Raw genomic sequence first — 20457 nt, 5'->3', positions numbered from 1 at the left:
TAGACTTGAATGGATCTGTCATGGAGTAGAGTGCCAAGGTATTCTTGTGCAATCAAAGCATTTTCAGGAAATCAGAGGGTCCTGGATGAGCACAGTGTGCTAGGCAGGGGTGAGAGTATGGCAGAGTGAAGGTGTCCTGGCAGTTCTGGGATGTGTATTCTACAGACGGGTGAGAGTATGGCAGAGTGAAGGTGTCCTGGCAGTTCTGGGATGTGTATTCTACAGACGGGTGAGAGTATGGCAGAGTGAAGGTGTCCTGGCAGTTCTGGGATGTGTATTCTACAGACGGGTGAGAGTATGGCAGAGTGAAGGTGTCCTGGCAGTTCTGGGATGTGTATTCTACAGAGGGGTGAGAGTATGGCAGAAGTGAAGGTGTCCTGGCAGTTCTGGGATGTGTATTCTACAGAGGGGTGAGAGTATGGCAGAGTGGAGGTGTCCTGGCAGTTCTGGGATGTGTATTCTACAGAGGGGTGAGAGTATGGCAGAATGAAGGTGTCCTGGCAGTTCTGGGATGTGTATTCTACAGAGGGGTGAGAGTATGGCAGAAGTGAAGATGTCCTGGCAGTTCTGGGAATGTGTATTCTACAGAGGGGTGACAGTATGGCAGAGTGAAGGTGTCCTGGCAGTTCTGGGATGTGTATTCTACAGAGGGGTGAGAGTATGGTAGAGGTGAAGATGTTCCGGTAGTTCTGGGAATGTGTATTCTACAGAGGGTCTTGCAGGGAATAGTTGCCTTGAGAGGACAGAATCTCAAGAGTTAGAATAATCACCTTTTGGATTCAGGGGGTCCTAGTGTGTTGAAGCTGTGCTGGGCTGTCTGTGTATTGGGAGAGTGGGAGAGTGACAGTGACTAGGGTGCCTACTGACAACTCTAGGGCTGAGACAACCAGAGTACACTGGAAGGTTGGAGAGCCCTGGCATTAAGACATCCCCTGTGTCAAAGGCATGTTGGATGGTCAGAGTGCTTTGGGAGACCTGGATATGTCTTTTCTTCGTCAAAATATCCTATGGATCAGGCTAGTGTGGTCAGGGTATTTCCTGGGTTGGGGTTGGCATGTTGAGTGGTTTTTCAGTGTCAACAGCACTTTGCAAGATTCAAGCAAATTGGGGGCTCTGAACAGGCAGGAAGACAAGATGCCCTTGACGGTCTAGATTCTGTAAGGTCAGGAATTCCTTAAAAGGTTAGAATTTCCCAAATCTCACCATGTCCTCATGGTCTGGGTGACTTAGAGGGTCACAGAGTGATTGTGAGCCCAAGATGTTGTGCTGAGTGTAAGGTACAGAGGTCAGAGCCTCTTGGAGGGTCTGTGTGTCCTGGAGAGTGAATGCATCCTCAGTGCCCTCAGCATTCAAGGACCTGACAGGGCCAGAATGGGTACCCCAGGCAGCAGGATGCATTGTAATTCAGTGTTCTCTTGTGAGTCCAAGCTGACTGCATGTCACTGGGTCTTGCTAGGTTAGGACTGCCATGGGGTTCAGGGTGCTCCAGGAGGTCAAAGTGTGTCCTAGGGTAGGGGAGAAGGGTTAAAATTAGAGCAGTGTTTCCCAATTTTACGTTGCTATGGACTAAACGTTTGTGTCCCTCCAAAATTTCTACGTTGAAGTCCTAACACCCAACGTGATGGTATTTGAAGGTGGGGATTTGGGGAGGTGATTAGGTTTAGATGAGCTCATGAGGGTGAGGCCCCATGATGGGATTAGTGTCCTTACAAGCAGAGGAAAAGAAACCAGAGCTGGTTCTTTCTCCACCATATGAAGGCACCGAGAGAAGGCAGCCACCTGCAAGCCAGGAAGAGAGCCCTCACAGGGGAGCCAAATAGGCGGACCCCTTGATCTTAGACTTCCCAGCCTCCAGAACTGTGAGCAATAGAAGTCTATTGTTTAAACCACACAGTCTATGCTATTTTGTCATGGCAGCCCCAGCTGACTAAGACCCACGTGCACTCGGTTCTCCTGGAGATCTTGATACAAGGCAGATTGTGACTCAGTAGAATGGAGGTGGGGCCCAGGGATCTGCATTTCCAACATGCTCCCATTGCTGGTGCTGCTGCTGCTGCTGATCCATGGACCACACGGTAAGCATCGAAATCCTAAAGGATTCTGATTTCCTGTCTTGAATCACCAGCGTGTTTTTAAAGGACCTGTATGACGGCATGACCCTGGGAATCAGACTGTCCTGTGGGTACAGTGTGTTCCAGGGGGTCCATGTGTTCTCACTGGGTCAGTGTATCCTGAGAAGCAGAGGTGAAGTGTTCTGGGTGTCAGCGTGTCCCAGGGGATCCTAAGGTCCTGGGCTGTTGCATCATCCTTAAACTGTCAGAGTGTCCTGGGGATGTCAGAATGTACTTCCCAGGTCTAAGTAACCTCAAGGGGCAGAGTACTGTGGGACCAGGCTGTCCTGACTGCTCAGAGATTCCCGGTGTCAGGATTTTCTTGAAGAATCAGAATGTAGTATGTCACGGGAATCTCAGTCTCTTTCCAAGTCCTGGAGTCTGGAGTGGGTTTGGGGGTCAGGATGCAGCTGGAATGCAGATGTTCAGGTCAGGGTTTTCGGAGAGTCTGGGTGACCTTGGAAGGTCATGGTGTCCTGGGGGTTCTGGGTGAATGAGGAAGTGGTGTTTGAGGGAGGAAATCAGAAAGTACTTGAGAGCTAAGGTGTCCTGGAGGCCCATTCTCCGGAGTGGGTTCAGGTTGGCCTGAGCACTGGCTGGTGTGTTCTGAACTATCAGGGTATCTGAGAGGGGCCAGCATGCACTTGTGACTTCTCCTTTTTTAGTTTCCTGGAAGCAGATCCTTGAGTGTCACCCCCATGCTGAGACGCCAGGCAGGCTCCACTCCTGGGTCCCTTTCCCCTGCTCTTCGTTCCTCTCCCCACAGTGGGGTTGTGAGGAGGGGGTCTCGGGAGGAATGCATTTTCTCCTCCTCCCCCTGCCTGCTCCCAGGAGGGGATTTAACAGGACAAAAGAATCCGGTCCTCTGGGAATACGAGCCCTTGGCCCCAGTCCCTGGACCCTCCGACAGAACACCTTCCCTCATCCGGCTTGTGATCCTCCCTGAGCAAGGGGGCTCTGGTGACCGTGTAGTGATTGGATGGGCCCACAGGGGCGAGGAGGAGGTCACTCCTCCAAGACTCAGGGGTGGGATGGGAAAGTAGGCAGCTGACAGAAGGGAGCAGCATCCCGGTGGGGAGAAGGGCCAGGCAGAGAAAAGTAGTCAGAAACAGAGCAACAGGTGAGGCTGAGGCAGGAGATTGAGCTGACACTCAAGCCAAGGAAGGGGGAATTAGGAAACAATTAGAAAAAAAGTAAAGACAGTGAAAAAGTCAGAGACAGCTGCCTGCACCTACACACACATTCAGAGACAGAGTCCCAGAGGGTGGCATACACAGAGGGAGAAGGGGAGGGAACAGGTGTGGAGAGGAGCTGCGGAAGCAGAGAAATCTCAAGTCAGAGATTCAGGGACACTTGGTCCCCGTGGCGAGCCATGGAAGCAGAAAGGAGGCGCCAGGCTGAGAAGCCAAAGAAGGGGCGAGTCGGCAGCAACCTGTTGCCTGAGAGACACCCGGCCACTGGGACCCCGACCACCACGGTGGGTGAGTGACCGTCCCGGTGTGCGTGGGTCCCTGAGGAGGCAGCGGGTGTGAGGCTGAAAGCATAGGCTCCATGAAGAAGGTTAGGAGGAGAAATTAAAACCCGAATCCTATCATGTTAAAACTGTGGGAACCTTTGAAAGTAAAAGGGACTGGAGCACCCCTTGGCTTTACAGACTGGGGAACTGAGCCCTTGGCAGGAGGGGGCGGCTGAACAGCTCACATTGCAGTGGGGATGTGAGACAGTTACCTCTGTCCCCTCACTCCTGACCTCAGAGTTGGTTAGCCCAAGCCACTGCCTTCTCTGATGAAGGGAGCTGGAGGGGCCAGGGCTTTGGGTCCAGGGCGGGAGGGCGGGCTCCGTGTGTGTGTCCCCCATGGTGGACAGTGAGCTCTAGGAGGGTCCACGCCCTTGGGCCCCATGGGGATGGTGCCTCGGCTCCAGACATCTTTTCTTGGTGTGCGCCTTCCAGGTGTGTCCTTTCCCTCCCCGTTCTCTCCTCCCCAACAGCTCTCAGACTAATTAGTGTGGGGGCTTAGGGAGCCTGTGGGGAGGAAGGCAAGCCTTTCCCACGAGCTCAAGTTCCTGCAGCCTGGTGGCTGGGCCAGGGCAGGGGTAGGGAGGAGATGAAAAGTAAGTAGGGGAGGGTGTGTCTGAGCGGAAGAGGGGGGTGCCCATCTTCCCAGGTGAGGGGTGCGGGAGATGGCAGCAGTCTGAAGAAGGCACAGGTTGAACAGGAGCCTCGCCAGCAGGGGACAAGCACTAGGGTCTTCCGTAGACAGCTGGGACGATTGTTAGGGTGCAGGTGCACACAGCAGACCCACAGGGTGAGCCCCAGGTGGTCGTGTGTGTCCAGAAGGGTGAACGTACATGGAGGGGTATGTGTCTGGCAGTGCAATAGGAAGTGGGCAGACAGTAGAGTTGCCAGGTAGACAGTGCATGAGTGCCAGGGCCAGGAATGAGTCTGAGGGTGTGCCCTGTGTAGACAGCACAGCCTGGTGTCAGAGACTCAGAGGCAACCAGGGGCCGAGGCTGAGCAGGGTGCAGGAACCAGGCTATGGCAGCTAAAAGATTCCCGGTGGGGCAGGGCTGGGTGCGGTGGCTCAGGCCTATAATCCCAGCACTTTGAGAGGCTGACATGGGAGGACTGCTTGAGGCCAGGAGTTTGAGACCAGCCTGGGCAAGATAGCAAGACCCCATCTCTAATTTTTTATTTTTTTAATTAGCTGGGTATGTTGGTGTGCACCTGTAGTCCCAGCTACTCAGGAGGCTAAGGCAGTAGGATCACTGGAGCCCAGGGGTTCGAGGCTGCAGTGAGCTGTGATCACACCACTGCACTCCAGTCTGGGAGACAGAGCAAGACTCTGTCTCAAAAAAAGACTGGAGCAGCACAGGACGCACTGAGCGCAATCCCGGGACAGGCACATGTGGTCCAGCACCGAGGAGCGTCCTCCTCAGAAGCCGCCCCTCCCTTCTCTCCGTTCTCAGACTCGAGTGCTCCACCCTGCAGAAGGCTCCCTGGTGCAGGAGGGGGGAGATCAAGGTTCTCCCCGCAAGGAGGACAGAGGGGCCGCCCGCACTCCCGGCGCCGCCACCGCACCACCTTCAGCCCAGTGCAGTTGGAACAGCTGGAGTCAGCCTTTGGGAGGAACCAGTACCCCGACATCTGGGCCCGAGAGAGTCTTGCCCGGGACACTGGCCTCAGTGAGGCCCGAATCCAGGTGATGCTCCAGGATCCTCCTCTCTCAGGAAAGAAATGCAGATTTCTTTGGTGCTATCATAGAATGTTGGGCATTATAACCCTAACCTAAATGGTCACCAGACACAGGCCTCATCTCACCACCAGCATCAGAGCAACTGCATTGAGAATATCATATCACTTGAGTTTAACCCTAGCTATAAGCTAATCTAACTTGAATTTCAACACCTACCCTCAATATTTAATAGTGATGCCAATTCCGGCTGGGCACAATAGCTCACACCTGTAATCCCAGCACTTTGGGAGGCCAAGCTGGATGGATCACCTGAGGTTAAGAGTTCGAGACCAGCCTGGTTAACATGGTGAAACCCCATCTCTGCTAAAAATACAAAAAATTAGCCAGGCATAGTGGCAGGTGCCTATAATTAATCCCAGCTACTCCGGAGGCTGAGGCAGGAGAATCACTTGAACCCGGGAGGTGGAGGTTGCAGTGAGCCAAGATCATGCCACTGCACTCCAGCCTGGGCAACAAGAACAAAACTTTGTCTCAAAAAAAAAAAAATAGTGATGCCAATTCCAACAGAAGTTCAATCCTAACTGTCCATATTCTTACAGAAGCTTGTCCCTAACCATAGCCTTGAAACTCAATGAGCCAAATGCTCCCTCAATCCTAACCCCAGGGTTGGTTAGCCTTAAGTGTAAACCCTACCCTAAATTCAAGCTTGTCTATAGCAATTACATTTATCTACAGTCTTAATCGTTAAACTTAACCCTAGGGGAAATTTCCCATTCTCTGGGGAAGGGAAATGTCATTGTCACCATATTTATCTCCTTGGTGGAAGCTGACACTTCTTACTTGCCCCGAGTGTTAGAAAAGGGCACATGTGGACAGAGGCTGGGGACAAGTCTGTGGGTTCCTTTGTCAGCAGACCAGGCTCAGCCAAGCCTTGTGGAAGAGCTTTACTCCCTCTGGCCATGCTGGAGAAGCCTGCTCCCTGTCCCTGCACCTCTTGTCATTGGAGTAGGGTGTCACCACCTATGTCAAGTGTGGGCTCTGATGTGGTTCCTACCCCTTCTCAGGTCTGGTTCCAGAACCGCAGAGCTAAGCAACGGAAGCAAGAGCGCTCACTGCTTCAGCCTCTGGCCCATCTGTCTCCTGCCGCCTTTTCCAGCTTCTTGCCAGAGTCCACTGCTTGCCCCTATTCTTACGCAGCACCACCACCACCAGTGACCTGCTTCCCTCACCCCTACAGCCATGCCCTCCCTTCCCAGCCCTCCACAGGAGGCGCCTTTGCTTTGTCACACCAGTCTGAGGACTGGTACCCTACCTTGCACCCAGCCCCTGCCGGCCATCTGCCCTGCCCCCCACCCCCTCCCATGCTCCCCCTCAGCCTTGAGCCATCCAAGTCCTGGAACTGAGGTCAAACAAGTACCACCAAGGTGATCCCCAGCCTGCGGCCCTCGTGAAAAGACAAGAAAATGGGGTGGCTTCCTTTCCATCTATGGGTGAAGCAGATGCATGGTGAGGGTCAGCTCAGCGATTAGAAATTTAAAAATGGGAGATCATGGTGAATTCTCACTGGGGTGATTAGTGGAGGAAGTCTGGGGAGGTGAGCTACTGGAAGAGACAGGGCAAGATGCCTCGGTGGAGCTGCCTGCTGAAGGGTGATATTGATGAAGACAGTTGCTGGTGAGTGGAGATGATTGAAGGGCTAGGAGGTGAGGGCCTTCATTAATTGAGATCACGATTGAAGAAGATCCCAGCTCTTTCTGGCTGATTTCAGTAAGGCTTCTGACTTAAGAGTCTACCTATACATCCCTTCCCCATTGCCCACCCCGCCATCTCAATCAGTCACTGACTTTTGTTTATTCTGTCCTAGAAATACCTTTTTTTTTTTTTTTTTTTTTTTTTTGAGACAGAGTCTTGCTCTGTCGCCCAGGCTGGAGTCCAGTGGCACAATCTCGACTCACTGCAAGCTCCACCTCCTGGGTTCACGCCATTCTCCCGCCTCAGCCTCCCGAGTAGCTGGGACTACAGGTGCCCGCCACCACGCCCGGCTAATTTTGTTTTTGTATTTTTAGTAGAGACGGAGTTTCACCATGTTAGCCAGGATGGTCTCAATCTCCTGACCTCGTGATCTGCCCGCCTCGGCCTCCCAAAGTGCTGGGATTACAGGTGTGAGCCACTGAGCCCAGCCGAAATATCTCTTCAGAGTGTCCCCTCCTTTCCATTCCAGCAGACACTTGGCTTTTTCTGACCCCGTATTTTCTGACTTATTGTCGCATAGGTTCCCTTAACTCTAGTCTATCCCACTTCCAACAAACCTGTGCAAATCTCAACATCAAGGAATGCTCTCCAATGTCTTATAAAAAATACATCAATCAGATTTGATTAGTTTTGCCTGTAGAAGTCTTCAACATCTGCCTTCAACTTTTAAATCAGCGGCACATTTTAACATATGTGGTTTCTGATAGAGAAGAAACCATTTGATTTAGGGCAAACTTTTCTAAGACGAAACCGTCTGAGGCTGATGAGGGGTCATTCCCAGGAAGGGACCTGCCTCTTCTGGGAAACGCCTTGGTCTGAACCCTCTCAAAAGAAACAGCATGGAGCCTAGTTCATGGTACAATTTTTATGCGATATTGCTTATTATGCACTTATTTTACTCACAATTCACTTATTTATATGTATGCTTACCTCTCTTATTGGAGGGTTCATAGAAAACTTTTTTAAATTAAATTTTTTTTTCTTTTTTGAGACGGAGTTTTGCTCTTGTTGCCCAAGCTGGAATGCAATGGAGTGATCTCGGCTCACTGCAACCTCCGCCTCCCGCGTTCAAACAATTCTCCTGCCTAAGCCTCCCGAGTAGCTGGGATTACAGGGTGTGCCACCGTGCCCGGCTAATTTTTTGTATTTTTAGTAGAGACGGGGTTTCACCATGTTGGCCAGGTTGGTCTTGAACTCCTGACCTCGAATGATCCACCTGCCTCAGCCTCCCAAAGTGCTGGGATTACAGGTGTGAGCCACTGCGCCAGGCCTGATTTTTTTAATATTTAATTTTTATTTTTTCATGTGCCTCTAGATATGATTTTTATTCTTGGTTTTTTTCCCCTCCCTCTTTCATCTCTCTCCTCTCTTCCAACTCCTCTTCCCTGTCCCATCCCTGCTACCCATTTAGTGGGAAGGAAGTTTCCCTGTGCCTGCAGCCCTGCTCCCCGACCCTCAGCAGGGTTACCTCCTGCAGAAGCAGGGCAAGGGGTAGGGACAAGGGACGGGGAGGCAGCTCGATGAAGTGAAGAATGAAGCCCCTGGAGGGAGGTGGATGGTGATGGCAGCAGTGGTGGCTGTCAGCCGGCATTCTCGTGCTCACAGCACTTCACAGAAGAATTTTTTTTTTTTTTTCTTGGGACTGAGTCTCACTCTTGTCACCCAGGCTGGAGTGCAATGGCGTGATCTCAGCTCACTGCAACCTCCACTTCCTGGGTTCAAGCGATTCTCCAACCTCAGCCAACTGAGTAGCTGGGATTACAGGCATGTACCACCACGCCCACATAATTTTTTTTTTTTTTTTTGAGATGGAGTCTCCCTCTTTCGCCCAGGCTGGAGTGCAGTGGTGTGATCTCGGCTCACAGCAACCTCTGCCTCCCGGGTTCAAAGTGATTCTCCTGTCTCAGCCTCCCGAGTAGCTGGGACTACAGGCGCCCGCCACCAAAGCCGGCTAATTTTTGTATTTTCAGTAGAGATGGGCTTTCACCATATTGATCAGGCCAGTCTCGAACTCCTGACCTCAGGTGATCCGCCTGCCTCGGCCTCCCAAAGTGCTGGGATTACAGGCGTGAGCCACCACACCCAGCCTCACCTAATTTTTGTATTTTTAGGAGAGCTGGGGTTTCACCATGTTGTCCAGGCTGGTCTCAAACTCCTGATCTCAGGTGATCCACCTGCCTCGGCCTCCCAAAGTGATGGGATTACAGGCATGAGCCACCACACCCGTCCCATAGAATAATCTTTAAACGGGCCTTTAGTGATGGATACTCAAGTTGTGAGTAGTTTTTTATATATATTATTAAAAAGTCTGGAATCACAACCCCTGTATTACACAATTGCACTCCTACCTAATTATCTCCTTGAGCCAGACTGCCTTCTAGAAAAATTACACTGGTTTGAATTCCACCAAAAGAACCTGAGTATTGGTTTCAGCACCTCCTTGTTAACCTGTACCATTTTTGACAATTTGTTAACTGAGAGTGATGTCTTCTTGTTTGCTTATTTTAAAATGTTCATTAATTGCTAGTGAGAGTTAAAAGTTTCATGTTTATTGGCAATTTACATTTTTCTTTTCTGCATTGCCTCTGTGTTGTGTATTTGTATATTGATATAGTCATCTTTTATTAGCGTCTGAGAGCTTTGTGGATTAGGGATATGAATTCCTATTCATACATGTTACAACCAATTTTTTTTTTTTTTTGAGACATAGTCTCACTTTGTCATCCAGGCTGCAGTCCAGTGGCACTATCTCGGTTCACTGCAACCTCTGCCTTCCGGGTTCAAGCGATTCTCCTGCCTCAGTCTCCCAAGTAGCTGAGGCTACAGATGCACGCTGCCATGCCCGACTAATTTTTGTGTTTTTAGTAGAGATGGGGTTTTACTATGTGGGCCAGGCTGGTCTGGAACTTGTGAGCTCAAGCAATCCACTGGCCTCGGCCTCCCAAAGTGTTGGGACTACAGGCATGAGCCACCACGCCTGGCCACACATTGCAACTATTTTTTAAAGTTGGTTATTTGTCTTTTAGCCTTTCGCAGTGAAGTTTTCCTGAGAGAATTAACACGAATTTCCGACACCTGTTGTATGTAAGGCATTAACTTCTGTCTGAAACATCTAGAATGACACCAGTTTTGTAGAACTGGTAGATGTTTTAGAAATTAGTCACTCAGTTCATTTTCTGTGTTGTGTGGTTCAGATGAAGAGCCCCGGGTGAGAAATCTGTTTTTAGTGGTTTGATCTATGTTTTCTTTATTATTTGGATCAAAAGGCTACAACTTGAATCACCTGAAATTTATTTTGCTATGTGCAGCAAAATAGTCATGCAATTTCCCTCAATCAGCTAATTAGTTATTCCATTGTTATTTACTTAATCGTCAAACTTCACCCTATTGATTTGTAAAATCATAATTTTTCATATACTGAGTTCTCATATATATATACAGATGTGTATATATATACAGATATATATATATATATATATATACAGATGTGTATATATATATATACCGATGTGTATATATATATATATGGGACAGCTGTGGACTCCTCATTCTTTTTCATCAATCAGTTTCTCTATTCCAGTTCCAGCACTACAGTCTTTTAATGATTGAAATGTAAGAATTATCAATACCTTTAAAATATTTAATTTTCTTATCCAAACACAAGGTGTGTCTTGTCGTTTCTTCCAGACTTCTGTTATGTCCTTCAGGAATTTAAAAAAAACATTTTTTTTTTTTTTTGAGACCGAGTCTTGGTCTGTTGCCCAGGCTGGAGTGCAATGGTGAGATCTCGGCTCACTGCAACCTCCGCCTCCCAGGTTCAAGCAATTCTCTTAGCCTCCAGAGTAGCTGGCACTACAGGTGCATGCTACCATACCCAGCTAATTTTTGTATTTTTTTTTTTTTTTTTTTTTTAGAAGAGATGGGTTTCACCATGTTGGCCAGTCTGGTCTCGAACTCCTGTTCTCAAATGATCTACCTGCCTTAGCCTCCCAAAGTGCTGCAATTACAGGCATGAGCCACTGCGCCTGATCAGAATTTTTATTTAAAAAACAACTTCCATATATCATACCCTTTATATAAAGTGTTTAAATGTGCAAAATAAACATTATGTAAAGGTTTAAAAATGATTATATGTTTACTTTTGCATGGCGTATGTTAGAGCGCTGTTTTGTAGTGGGCAGGCCTGTGCAAACCCACTCCAAAGTCCAAGGAAGCTGAGAGGCCAAAGGCTGAAAAATTCAGTTTCTTAAAAAGAAACATTGAGGCCAGGCACTGTGGCTCACACCTGTCATCCCAACACTTTGGGAGGCCGAGGTAGGCAGATCACAAGGTCAGGAGTTCGAGACCAGCCTGAGCAACATAATGAAACCCCATCTCTACCAAAAATACAAAAATTAGCCAGGCATGCTGGCTCACGCCTGTAATCCCAGCTACTCAGGAGGCTGAGGCAGGAGAATCGCTTGAATCTGGGAGGCAGAGGTTGCAGTGAGCCGAGATCGTACCACTGTACTCCAGCCTGGGTGACAGAGCAAGACTCCATCTCAAAAAACAAAACAAAACAAAACAATTAAAAACATTGAACAGGGCCTGAGAGCAGAAGCCACATCCATGTCCTGAGCTGTGGCCAGAGAAGATGGTGTCTACCCCCTCAAGACCCAGGGATTCTATACTAGAGGGGAGGGGCACCCGTGCTTCAGAGGGAATGGGTACGACTTTGTCCTAAGTGCCGATTTACGGGGAATACCTCTTTACCTACCCTTACACAAGGAACGATCTTGGATCCCAGAACGGGGTTAATCAGAATTCCACTTGGTGGCTTAGCATCCAAAATAGAATGACTAGCCTCTCATCCGAGATGGAATTCCTTTAGCCTCCACCAGTGCATACACAGGAAGTAAACTCGGAAGACAGGCACACAAATGACAGCATGTCTTAGAAGTGGAAAGCACAGTGTAACACAGGATCTGAACCGAGGGGTACTCAGTGCTATCTGGGTGGCTTTGTGTTTGTCATATAGCCCAGGCTAATGGCTTTTTCCTTTTTAGAATTGAAAATGGGATCCTGCCAGGTGCGGGTGGCTCACGCCTGTAATCCCAGCGCTTTGCGAGGCGGAGGCAGGCAGATCATGAGATCAGGAGCTTGAGACCCTGGCCAACACGGTGAAACCCCGTGTCTACTAAAGATACTGGGCGTGGTGGCGCACACCTGTAGTCCCAGCTACTCGGGAGGCTGAGGCAGGAGAATCACTTGAACCCAGGAGGTGGAGGTTGCAGTGAGCTGAGATCTCACCGCTGCACTCCAGCCTGGCGACAGAGCGAGACTCCATCTTAAAAAATAAAAACAAAAATGGGATCCTGCCATATATGTTATAATGTCCTTTTAAAACTAACAACCTATGGACATCTTGCGAGTGGCTCATACAGATTTTATTGTTTTCATTGCTAACTGGCAGTTCATTGTTTGGTGTTTTGTTTTGTGCCTCTGCAGTTATATTGCTAAAGGATTTTTTTTTTATTAAAGGTAAAATCATGACTCAGAGATGCAAAATAATTGTGTACTAAATATCTTAATTCATTATGGAGGCAATAATGAAGATGTTTAAACCAAGGACAATCCAAAGAACAGACACATTTATAGATGAATAGCAAAGTGAACGTGTAAATGGACACACAGCTGGCCTCTTCCACAGTTGGGGAGCGTAGTCAACCGAATCTCCACGGAACAGAATTCACGTACCTGTCTAGGGGCCGGGCTATTTTTGCATTGCAATCAGCTACAATGTTGTAAAATAGCCCAAAAGCCCGGAAGGCCTCAGAGACCCGATAGAATCAAAACCGGAAAGGAGGGCCCTCATGCCGGTTTCCATCAAAACACTTTCCCCTACAGTTTCCTCTTATCCAGGTGCTTTTGTTTTTGTGGGATAGCTGTCCCAAGTTAGGATTGCTGTGTTAAACGTTATGTTTATTTAAAATGGTAAGAGATACTGCCTGAGTAGCTTGCCAAAAAGTGTAGTTTAGGATGTTGTCTCATCGAATAATAATAGTTAATAATAAAGCCTAGAAAAATGCCCCATAATATTTCTTCAACGATTTGACTAAAAGTAAAGCAAAACAAAAAACCTATAATAAATCCAGAACCAATTTTGTGTATACCGAAAACCAGAGGATTGAGTTTCTTCTAGATCGACAACTATACCAGCACTATTTATTAAATAAACTAACATTCTCACATTGAATCGAATCGATCCCTTTATCAATTCATTAAATTTCCATAGGTGTCACAATCTCTTCCGGGCACTCTGTTTCGGAGCTGGTTCTCCCAGCAGCTTTTCAGGCTCACGCCGGCGGTGGCGCAGACCTAGGGTCTCCCACACTCGCCGTGCCCACACTCGCCCTGCCCACACTCGCCGTGCCCACACTCGCCGTGCCCACACTCGCCGTGCCCACACGCCCTGCCCACACTCGCCCTGCCCACACTCGCCCTGCCCACACTCGCCCTGCCCACACTCGCCGTGCCCACACTCGCCCTGCCCACACTCGCCCCTGAGCTGGCCTGGAAAGCGCAAAAGGTGGGAAGTCAAGTTCTCTGCGCCCTTCCCTTCTACATTCGCTAGTCCTCGCCCACCTCCTTTCCTGCGGCCCCGACCCTCTGACGCCCCTGCGGGAGGCGTGCGCCCTAGACAGCCCTTCTCGCCGCCCGCCCGCCCGCCCGCCAGAGTTCTGGCGCCTGCGGTGCCCTGGACTGAACAGGCTGCAGGCTTTGGGCCTGAACACCGCAGACTGGCGCCCCAGCAACCCAGCCTGGGCGACAGCGGAGTGCGCACCCGATGGACTCCCCTGTCTTCCCTTCTCGGTAGAGGAGATGCTCTTTTTTGTTGTTTTGAGACGGAGTCTCGCTCTGTCCCCCAGGCTGGAGTGCAGGGGCGCGATCTGGGCTCACTGCAAGCTCCGCCTCCCGGGTTCACGCCATTCTCCTGCCTCAGCCTCCGGAGTAGCTGGGACTACAGGCGCCCGCCACCACGCTCGGCTAATTTGTTGTATTTTCAGTAGAAACTGAGTTTCACCGTGTTAGCCAGGATGGTCTCGATCTCCTGACCTCGTGATCCGCCCGCCTCGGCCTCCCAAAGTGCTGGGACTACAGGCGTGAGCCACCGCGCTCCGCCGAGGAGATACTCTAGAAGCTTAAAACTGGCAGAGTTGGAAGTTGCCCCGTTTACGATTAAAAAAATAAAACGAGTGTCTTTCCAGCAGCTTCACCCTCGCTCCATCCCATTCCTGCCAAGGGGAGAATGCAGCCCCGTTGAAGCTGAAGTCATGAATTCGACTTTGTGCTGGGAAATCGCAATCCCTGGTCTCTCAGGAAGGGCCCTTCCTTCCCAGCAGGATCCAACTTGGAGTATAGAAAAGGAAGGACTTGGAGCTCGAAGTGGGTGTGCGGGGCGGGAGCTCTGAGTGGCTCGGCCGGGCGCAGAGCTCCAGGGGATGCAGCGATCTGGGCGCCCCTCACCACTGAAGACCCCTGGGCCGGGGCGCCGAGACCAGGCGGGGAGGCGCGGTCCCCGGGCGCGCCCCTGCGAGCGGAAACCCTCTAATCTTGCTCGGGAGCCGCAGCGGTCGCGTTGCCAGACGCAAGTTTAACGAGGACAAAGCCGAGCCTTTAAAAGGGCAGATTCTGTGCGAGATCTCGCCTGCCTGGAACGTTCCGTCGAGGGTCTGCTGGAACCCGCGGGGCCCCTCCTGCACCCCCGGGGACTCCGGGCCGACTTTACCCCCTCACCTTCACGGAGCCGAGGGCAGGGCCTTGCTGTGCGCTCCAGGCACTTCTGGATGGCCGGACTCTGGCCCATCTCCGCGCCGTCGGCCCAGCGAAAATTGCACCTGGCGGCCCCGCGGGATGCAAAGGGACCTGCTCCGTCGTGGGACGAGCTCTCTTGGGTCGGAACCAACCCGGCTCAACCCGGCCGGCGCCTCCTGGGTCCCCGTGGAGCTGCTTCCCCAACGCGCCACGCCTGACGTCCGGGTCTCCACAAGAGTCCTTCCCAGTCCAGCTTTGGTTTTTCTTCCAGAAACGGGCGCCTGGCTCCCAAGATCGGAGAGGACAAGTGAAAAGCCCGGCCCACTGCCTGTCCTGCGTCTCTACCCAGCTCGGCTCCCTCTGGTACCAGGAGAGGGCTCTCCCAGCTGGAGAGTGGACGCCACTTGCCAGTCCTGGAGCGGTCTACACCCCCCACCTCCGCAAATGGTGCCCCCACTTGGCTTCCTGGGGCCTAAGGCTCGGCCTGCCCTTGGCAAGATGGAATCCGGGAATAGCAGGATGGGTGCCATTCGGTCAGGGAATCCCAGTACTGGGACCCTGGGCTAGAAGTGGGAGAAGGGGCTGCGACTCCGGGTGGCACATGCCCTGGACCCTGAGAACTACCCACTATGCTCCCGGAACTACTCGCCCCGCTCCTCCAGAGAGGCGCTACTGCAGGAGGCCCACGGCTCTCCAAGACTGGCCTCACAGCAGGGGCTCTGCCTGCTCTAAGACTGTGCTGTGTGGGCATTACAATGGCTTTTTCCAGGTTTTATTGAAATTATCTGAACCTCTCCCCCGAAATTGGAGCACGCACACTCTCTCCTATTAGCTGGAAGAAGAAGCTGAACTAAAGAGGCTCTCTAAGGCTCCTCTTTTGAATGTGGGCAAAATTAGCCTGGAAGTCTTCCAAGTTCCCACCCCACCAAGATCACCCCTCCCTCCAGCCTGCCCCTCAATTCACCCCCTCACAACCAGCATCTGGATGCCCAGGGAGCGCCTTACTGCCGTAATGGCACCCTACAAGCAGCCCAAGGTGGAGGAGGGGTAGGAGTCAGTTGCACAGAGTGGCCATTGCCCAGGTTATGTGGATGTCAGGGAGGTTGGGAAGAGAATGACTGTGTGTTTGGGGGGGTCATCAGTATCTGTATATGGCTAGCAAGCTATATGGCTGAAGGCTTTGGGGCTTAGGGACCAATCAAATTTGGTTGCAGGACTCCTGAGTCACCTGAGCCCTGGCGTCCTTGTTCCTCTGAATGGGACATAGGTAGTCACTGTATTTTGTCTAGTAGACAGGTTACCTATGGGAGAATCCAGCATTTTCTACAGTGTGATGGGCCCATGTTGCCCCAGGGAAAGGAGGACACAAGGCACGCCAAGAACCAGGGCCTGAGGCCTAAGTGCTGGCAAGGCGAAAGGGGTTGGGGTGCTGACAGCCAGCTCCTGACCACACCGGCTCTCCAGTTGCAGGGAAGGGATAGGTGCCCCAGGGTGAAGGAAGTCAGGTCACCTGGCCTATCTCCAGAAGACAAAACTGACCCTGGGTGAAACCACCTACCTGAGCAGCAGTGGACGAACTGTTCAGACCCCAAGACCACCTTCCCTCCACTGGTATAACCTCTTCTGCTTTTCTGTCGGACTCCTCAGATAGCACAACTGGAATTCTGATTCTTACAGAATCCTGCAAATATTTATCAGGCACCTACCGAGTGCCCAGCAGGGAGCCAGAAGCTGGAGATTTGTCTTGGACCCAAGAAGTTCCTGCTGGACACTGGGACATACCAGGACAGGATCATGTGAGCCCAGGCCAGGTTTCTAGAGGGGATCCTCTCCCTCTCTCCCATGTCGGAGACTTACCTCCACTCTGCGGAGTTCCTCTTCTGAGCACACCTGCAGGCGCTGCGTTTTGTACACTGGAGGGGGTTGGAGGGGAAAGGAATGGGAGGGTCAGAGCAGCCCTGGCCTGGGGCCCCTGCGGAAGCCTTTGGTCCTGAAAGCCGTGACTGGACACAGGACCTCCTTCTACACACTGATGGGCAGGGGACTTCCCTTGTGTGCTGACTTTCCACAGCCACCACTATGCAGATCCAACTGTTTCCTGCTTCCTGAGACATTGTCCCAGCTAAGCTAAGTGTCCCCAGCAGCCTTGCCGTCCCAGATCCGGGTGGTGGGCAGCAGCAGTGAACCCAAAGGGGAACCCTCTTGGCCGCAGCACCTCCGTGTCGCCAGGGCGGGGCCCTGGGTGCTGGCAGCTGTCCCGCCTCTGCAAAACCTCAGGTCTGTGGCGCCTCCTGGCTGCTGCTTCCTTGGAGGCCATGCAAAATGTCCCAGGCACTCCTTCCTGCCCTCTGGGGACCACGTTGGAGGTGAGGGGTCAGATCCCAGGGGAGGTCCCGTGCCCTGGGGGTGGGAGGGAGAGTGGTGTTGCAGGCAGGAGAGACGGTGTGGTGGGCAGAAGACTAGACTGCTGAGCCCTGGTGTGGCAGCAGCTGTGCGTCTCCCTGGATGCCTGAACCCCTTGCCCATTTGAGACGGGCTGTGAGGGTCGGGTGGTTCAGGGAGGGAAGGATGGCAGGGCCGCTGCTCCTACCCCCACCCCCCCAACCTCTCTGGGCTCTGAAGCAACGTATCAAACTTCCCATTCCCCCGTCAGAGCCATCTATCCACCATCCATCCATCCATTCATTCGGCCATCCATCCACCATCCATGTGTCCACCATCCATCCTTTTATCCGTCCATTCAGCAAATATCCATCGAGCCCCTGCCCTGTGCCAATGTTGTTCTAGGCACAAGGGATACTTCAGCAAGCCATTCATTCTATTTGGGGGATAAACAATAACGAAACAAATAAATAAGAAGATAACAGTAGTGCCGTGCTGCAGTGAATAATGGATCCACATTGCCCCAGGACAGCACTGCCCACACCGTGATGTACAAAAAGCGATGCACAAGAGGGCCAGAGCCTGGCCCCACCTAGCAAGGGGTCCACCGAGCCCCTCCCTCATTATCCGCGGCTGTCCCCATGACACCCCCGCTACCCGCTGCACAGGCCAAGACCCGGGAGTTCCTATACTCCATTCCTCCTCACACACCTGCCGTGACCTCAGCGAGTTGTGGGCAGGTGAGGTCACTTCACGCACCCGGTCTTCCCGCTTCTCTCCAGCCTTCCCACCATGCCCAGCCCATGCTGTCATCATGCCCACTCCCACCACAGCAAAGCCCACTAACATCCATCCGCTTCAACTTGTGCTTGCCACGGCAGCTGCCCATGTTTCTCAAGTGTGACCAGGTTGCACTGCTGTTGGGATTAAAACCTGCAGCCAAAAGAGAATCTGAAGTGGCCACCAGAGTCCATGAGGCCTGGTCCGACTGGGCGGCTAGCCACTCTGCCCCACTTCTCTCCACCCCTTGTTCTCCTCTCTAAGCCCCACCGCAGCCCTGCCTTTCACCCTCAGGGCTCTGCACTTGCATCCACCTGTGCTGTGAACACGCTCTGCCCAGTCCCGGCACGGCTGGCTCCCTACTCGTCAGAGACTCTGGCCTCCTCCTCTAAGACAGCCCGCCCCATCTCTCTCCCCCGCTCAGCCAGGAGAGCCACCCCCTTCCCAGTCTGGCTTCCACCAGCCTCTGAGTCTTGGCAAACCAGAAACTCCCCGCTGGCTGGGGAAACTGACTGTCTGATTGGCTGGGGGCGGACAGAGCCTGGCTAACCCTGACTAACAGTTGGAGGGCTACGTGAGAAAAAATGGCTCCAGTAAGTGCTTGGAAGCCTGTAGTTTGAGGCAGCAGCAAGCTGGGGACAGGCCAAGGCTGAGGGTGGGACAATGGGCATCAGGCCTCAAAGAACCTGGATCCTGTGCGATCTCGCTTTTCCTTGCTGCCATCTGGAGCCGGGGAGAAATGCGCTCCCACGTGCTCTGTGTGTCACACACACACACACACACACACACACAGGGAGAAATGGGCTCCCACGTGCTCTGTGTGTCACACACACACACACACACCCAGGGAGAAATGGGCTCCCACGTGCTCTGTGTGTGTCTCTCACACACACACACACACACACACACACACACCCAGGGAGAAATGCGCTCCCACGCGCTCTGTGTCACACACACACACACACACACACACACACCCAGGGAGAAATGCACTCCCACGTGCTCTGTGTCTCTGTCTTACACACACACACACACACCCAGGGAGAAATGCGCTCCCACGTGCTCTGTCTCTGTCTTACACACACACACACACACACACACACACACACCCAGGGAGAAATGAGCTCCCACGTGCTCTGTGTCTCTGTCTTACACACACACACACACCCAGGGAGAAATGAGCTCCCACGTGCTCTGTGTCTCTGTCTTTCACACACACACACACACACACACACACACCCAGGGAGAAATGAGCTCCCACGTGCTCTGTGTCTGTCTTTCACACACACACACACACACACACACACACCCAGGGAGAAATGAGCTCCCACATGCTCTGTGTCTCTCTCTCACACACACACACACACACACACCCAGGGAGAAATGAGCTCCCACGTGCTCTGTGTCTCTGTCTTACACACACACACACACACACACACACACACACCCCCAGGGAGAAATGAGCTCCCACGTGCTCTGTCTCTGTCTTTCACACACACACACCCAGGGAGAAATGAGCTCCCACGTGCTCTGTGTCTCTTTCACACACACACACACCCAGGGAGAAATGAGCTCCCACGTGCTCTGTCTTTCACACACACACACACACACACCCAGGGAGAAATGAGCTCCCACATGCTCTGTGTCTCTGTCTTTCACACACACACACACACACACACACACACACACACACACCCAGGGAGAAATGAGCTCCCACGTGCTCTGTGTCTGTCTTTCACACACACACACACACACACACACACACACACACACCCAGGGAGAAATGAGCTCCCACGTGCTCTGTGTCTCTGTCTTTCTCACACACACACACACACACACACACACACACCCAGGGAGAAATGAGCTCCCACGTGCTGTGTCTCTGTCTTTCACACACACACACACACACACACACACCCAGGGAGAAATGAGCTCCCACGTGCTCTGTGTCTCTGTCTTTCACACACACACACACACCCCCAGGGAGAAATGAGCTCCCACGTGCTCTGTCTCTGTCTTTCACACACACACACACACACCCAGGGAGAAATGAGCTCCCACGTGCTCTGTGTCTCTTTCACACACACACACACACACACACACACACACACACACCCAGGGAGAAATGAGCTCCCACGTGCTCTGTGTCTCTGTCTTTCACACACACACACACACACACACCCAGGGAGAAATGAGCTCCCACGTGCTCTGTGTCTCTGTCTTTCACACACACAAACACACACACCCAGGGAGAAATGAGCTCCCACGTGCTCTGTGTCTCTGTCTTTCACACACACACACACACACACACACCCAGGGAGAAATGAGCTCCCACGTGCTCTGTGTCTGTCTTTCACACACACACACACACACACCCAGGGAGAAATGAGCTCCCACGTGCTCTGTGTCTCTGTCTTTCACACACACACACACACCCAGGGAGA

The 20457-nt window shown here is 52.1% G+C and overlaps 1 protein-coding gene across 1 annotated transcript, besides 5 other annotated features; it reads left to right on the top strand.

Annotated features, from left to right (window-relative positions):
• Positions 2524–3023: an enhancer, noted in NCBI's record as "H3K4me1 hESC enhancer chr5:177423395-177423894 (GRCh37/hg19 assembly coordinates)". NCBI's record gives its function as "activates a minimal SCP1, AML or CMV promoter by ChIP-STARR-seq in naive H9 embryonic stem cells {active_cell/tissue: H9 hESC(naive)}" and the evidence as "EXISTENCE:reporter gene assay evidence [ECO:0000049][PMID:30033119]".
• On the top strand, positions 3175–7182 carry PROP1 (PROP paired-like homeobox 1). Its single transcript, NM_006261.5, has 3 exons — positions 3175–3592; positions 5079–5311; positions 6370–7182. Exons 1-3 carry the CDS (start codon positions 3484–3486, stop codon positions 6706–6708), a joined length of 681 nt encoding a protein of 226 aa, NP_006252.4. The 5' UTR covers positions 3175–3483; the 3' UTR covers positions 6709–7182.
• Positions 16597–17161: an enhancer, noted in NCBI's record as "H3K4me1 hESC enhancer chr5:177409257-177409821 (GRCh37/hg19 assembly coordinates)". NCBI's record gives its function as "activates a minimal SCP1, AML or CMV promoter by ChIP-STARR-seq in naive H9 embryonic stem cells {active_cell/tissue: H9 hESC(naive)}" and the evidence as "EXISTENCE:reporter gene assay evidence [ECO:0000049][PMID:30033119]".
• Positions 16597–17220: a biological region, named in NCBI's record as "H3K4me1 hESC enhancer GRCh37_chr5:177409257-177409821".
• Positions 17052–17220: a silencer, noted in NCBI's record as "fragment chr5:177409198-177409366 (GRCh37/hg19 assembly coordinates)". NCBI's record gives its function as "represses an EF-1alpha promoter that drives an FKBP-Casp9 reporter gene in an ReSE screen in K562 erythroleukemia cells {active_cell/tissue: K562}" and the evidence as "EXISTENCE:reporter gene assay evidence [ECO:0000049][PMID:32094911]".
• Positions 18608–19352: an enhancer, noted in NCBI's record as "H3K27ac-H3K4me1 hESC enhancer chr5:177407066-177407810 (GRCh37/hg19 assembly coordinates)". NCBI's record gives its function as "activates a minimal SCP1, AML or CMV promoter by ChIP-STARR-seq in primed H9 embryonic stem cells {active_cell/tissue: H9 hESC(primed)}" and the evidence as "EXISTENCE:reporter gene assay evidence [ECO:0000049][PMID:30033119]".

Source organism: Homo sapiens, chromosome 5, assembly GCF_000001405.40.
Source record: "Homo sapiens chromosome 5, GRCh38.p14 Primary Assembly".
Taxonomy (NCBI): Eukaryota; Metazoa; Chordata; class Mammalia; order Primates; family Hominidae; genus Homo; species Homo sapiens.
Note: the sequence above shows the minus strand (reverse complement) of the source record. Positions and strands in the feature narration are given on the sequence as shown.

What these genes read in the sequence shown, in the direction of transcription:
- PROP1 (NM_006261.5), top strand. Translation starts at nt 3,484, where the DNA reads ATGGAAGCAGAAAGGAGGCGCCAGGCTGAGAAGCCAAAGAAGGGGCGA. An exon ending in GACCCCGACCACCACGGTGG is followed by an intron (nt 3,593 to 5,078) that starts GTGAGTGACCGT and finishes CTCCGTTCTCAG; the next exon opens with ACTCGAGTGCTCCACCCTGC. An exon ending in TCAGTGAGGCCCGAATCCAG is followed by an intron (nt 5,312 to 6,369) that starts GTGATGCTCCAG and finishes ACCCCTTCTCAG; the next exon opens with GTCTGGTTCCAGAACCGCAG.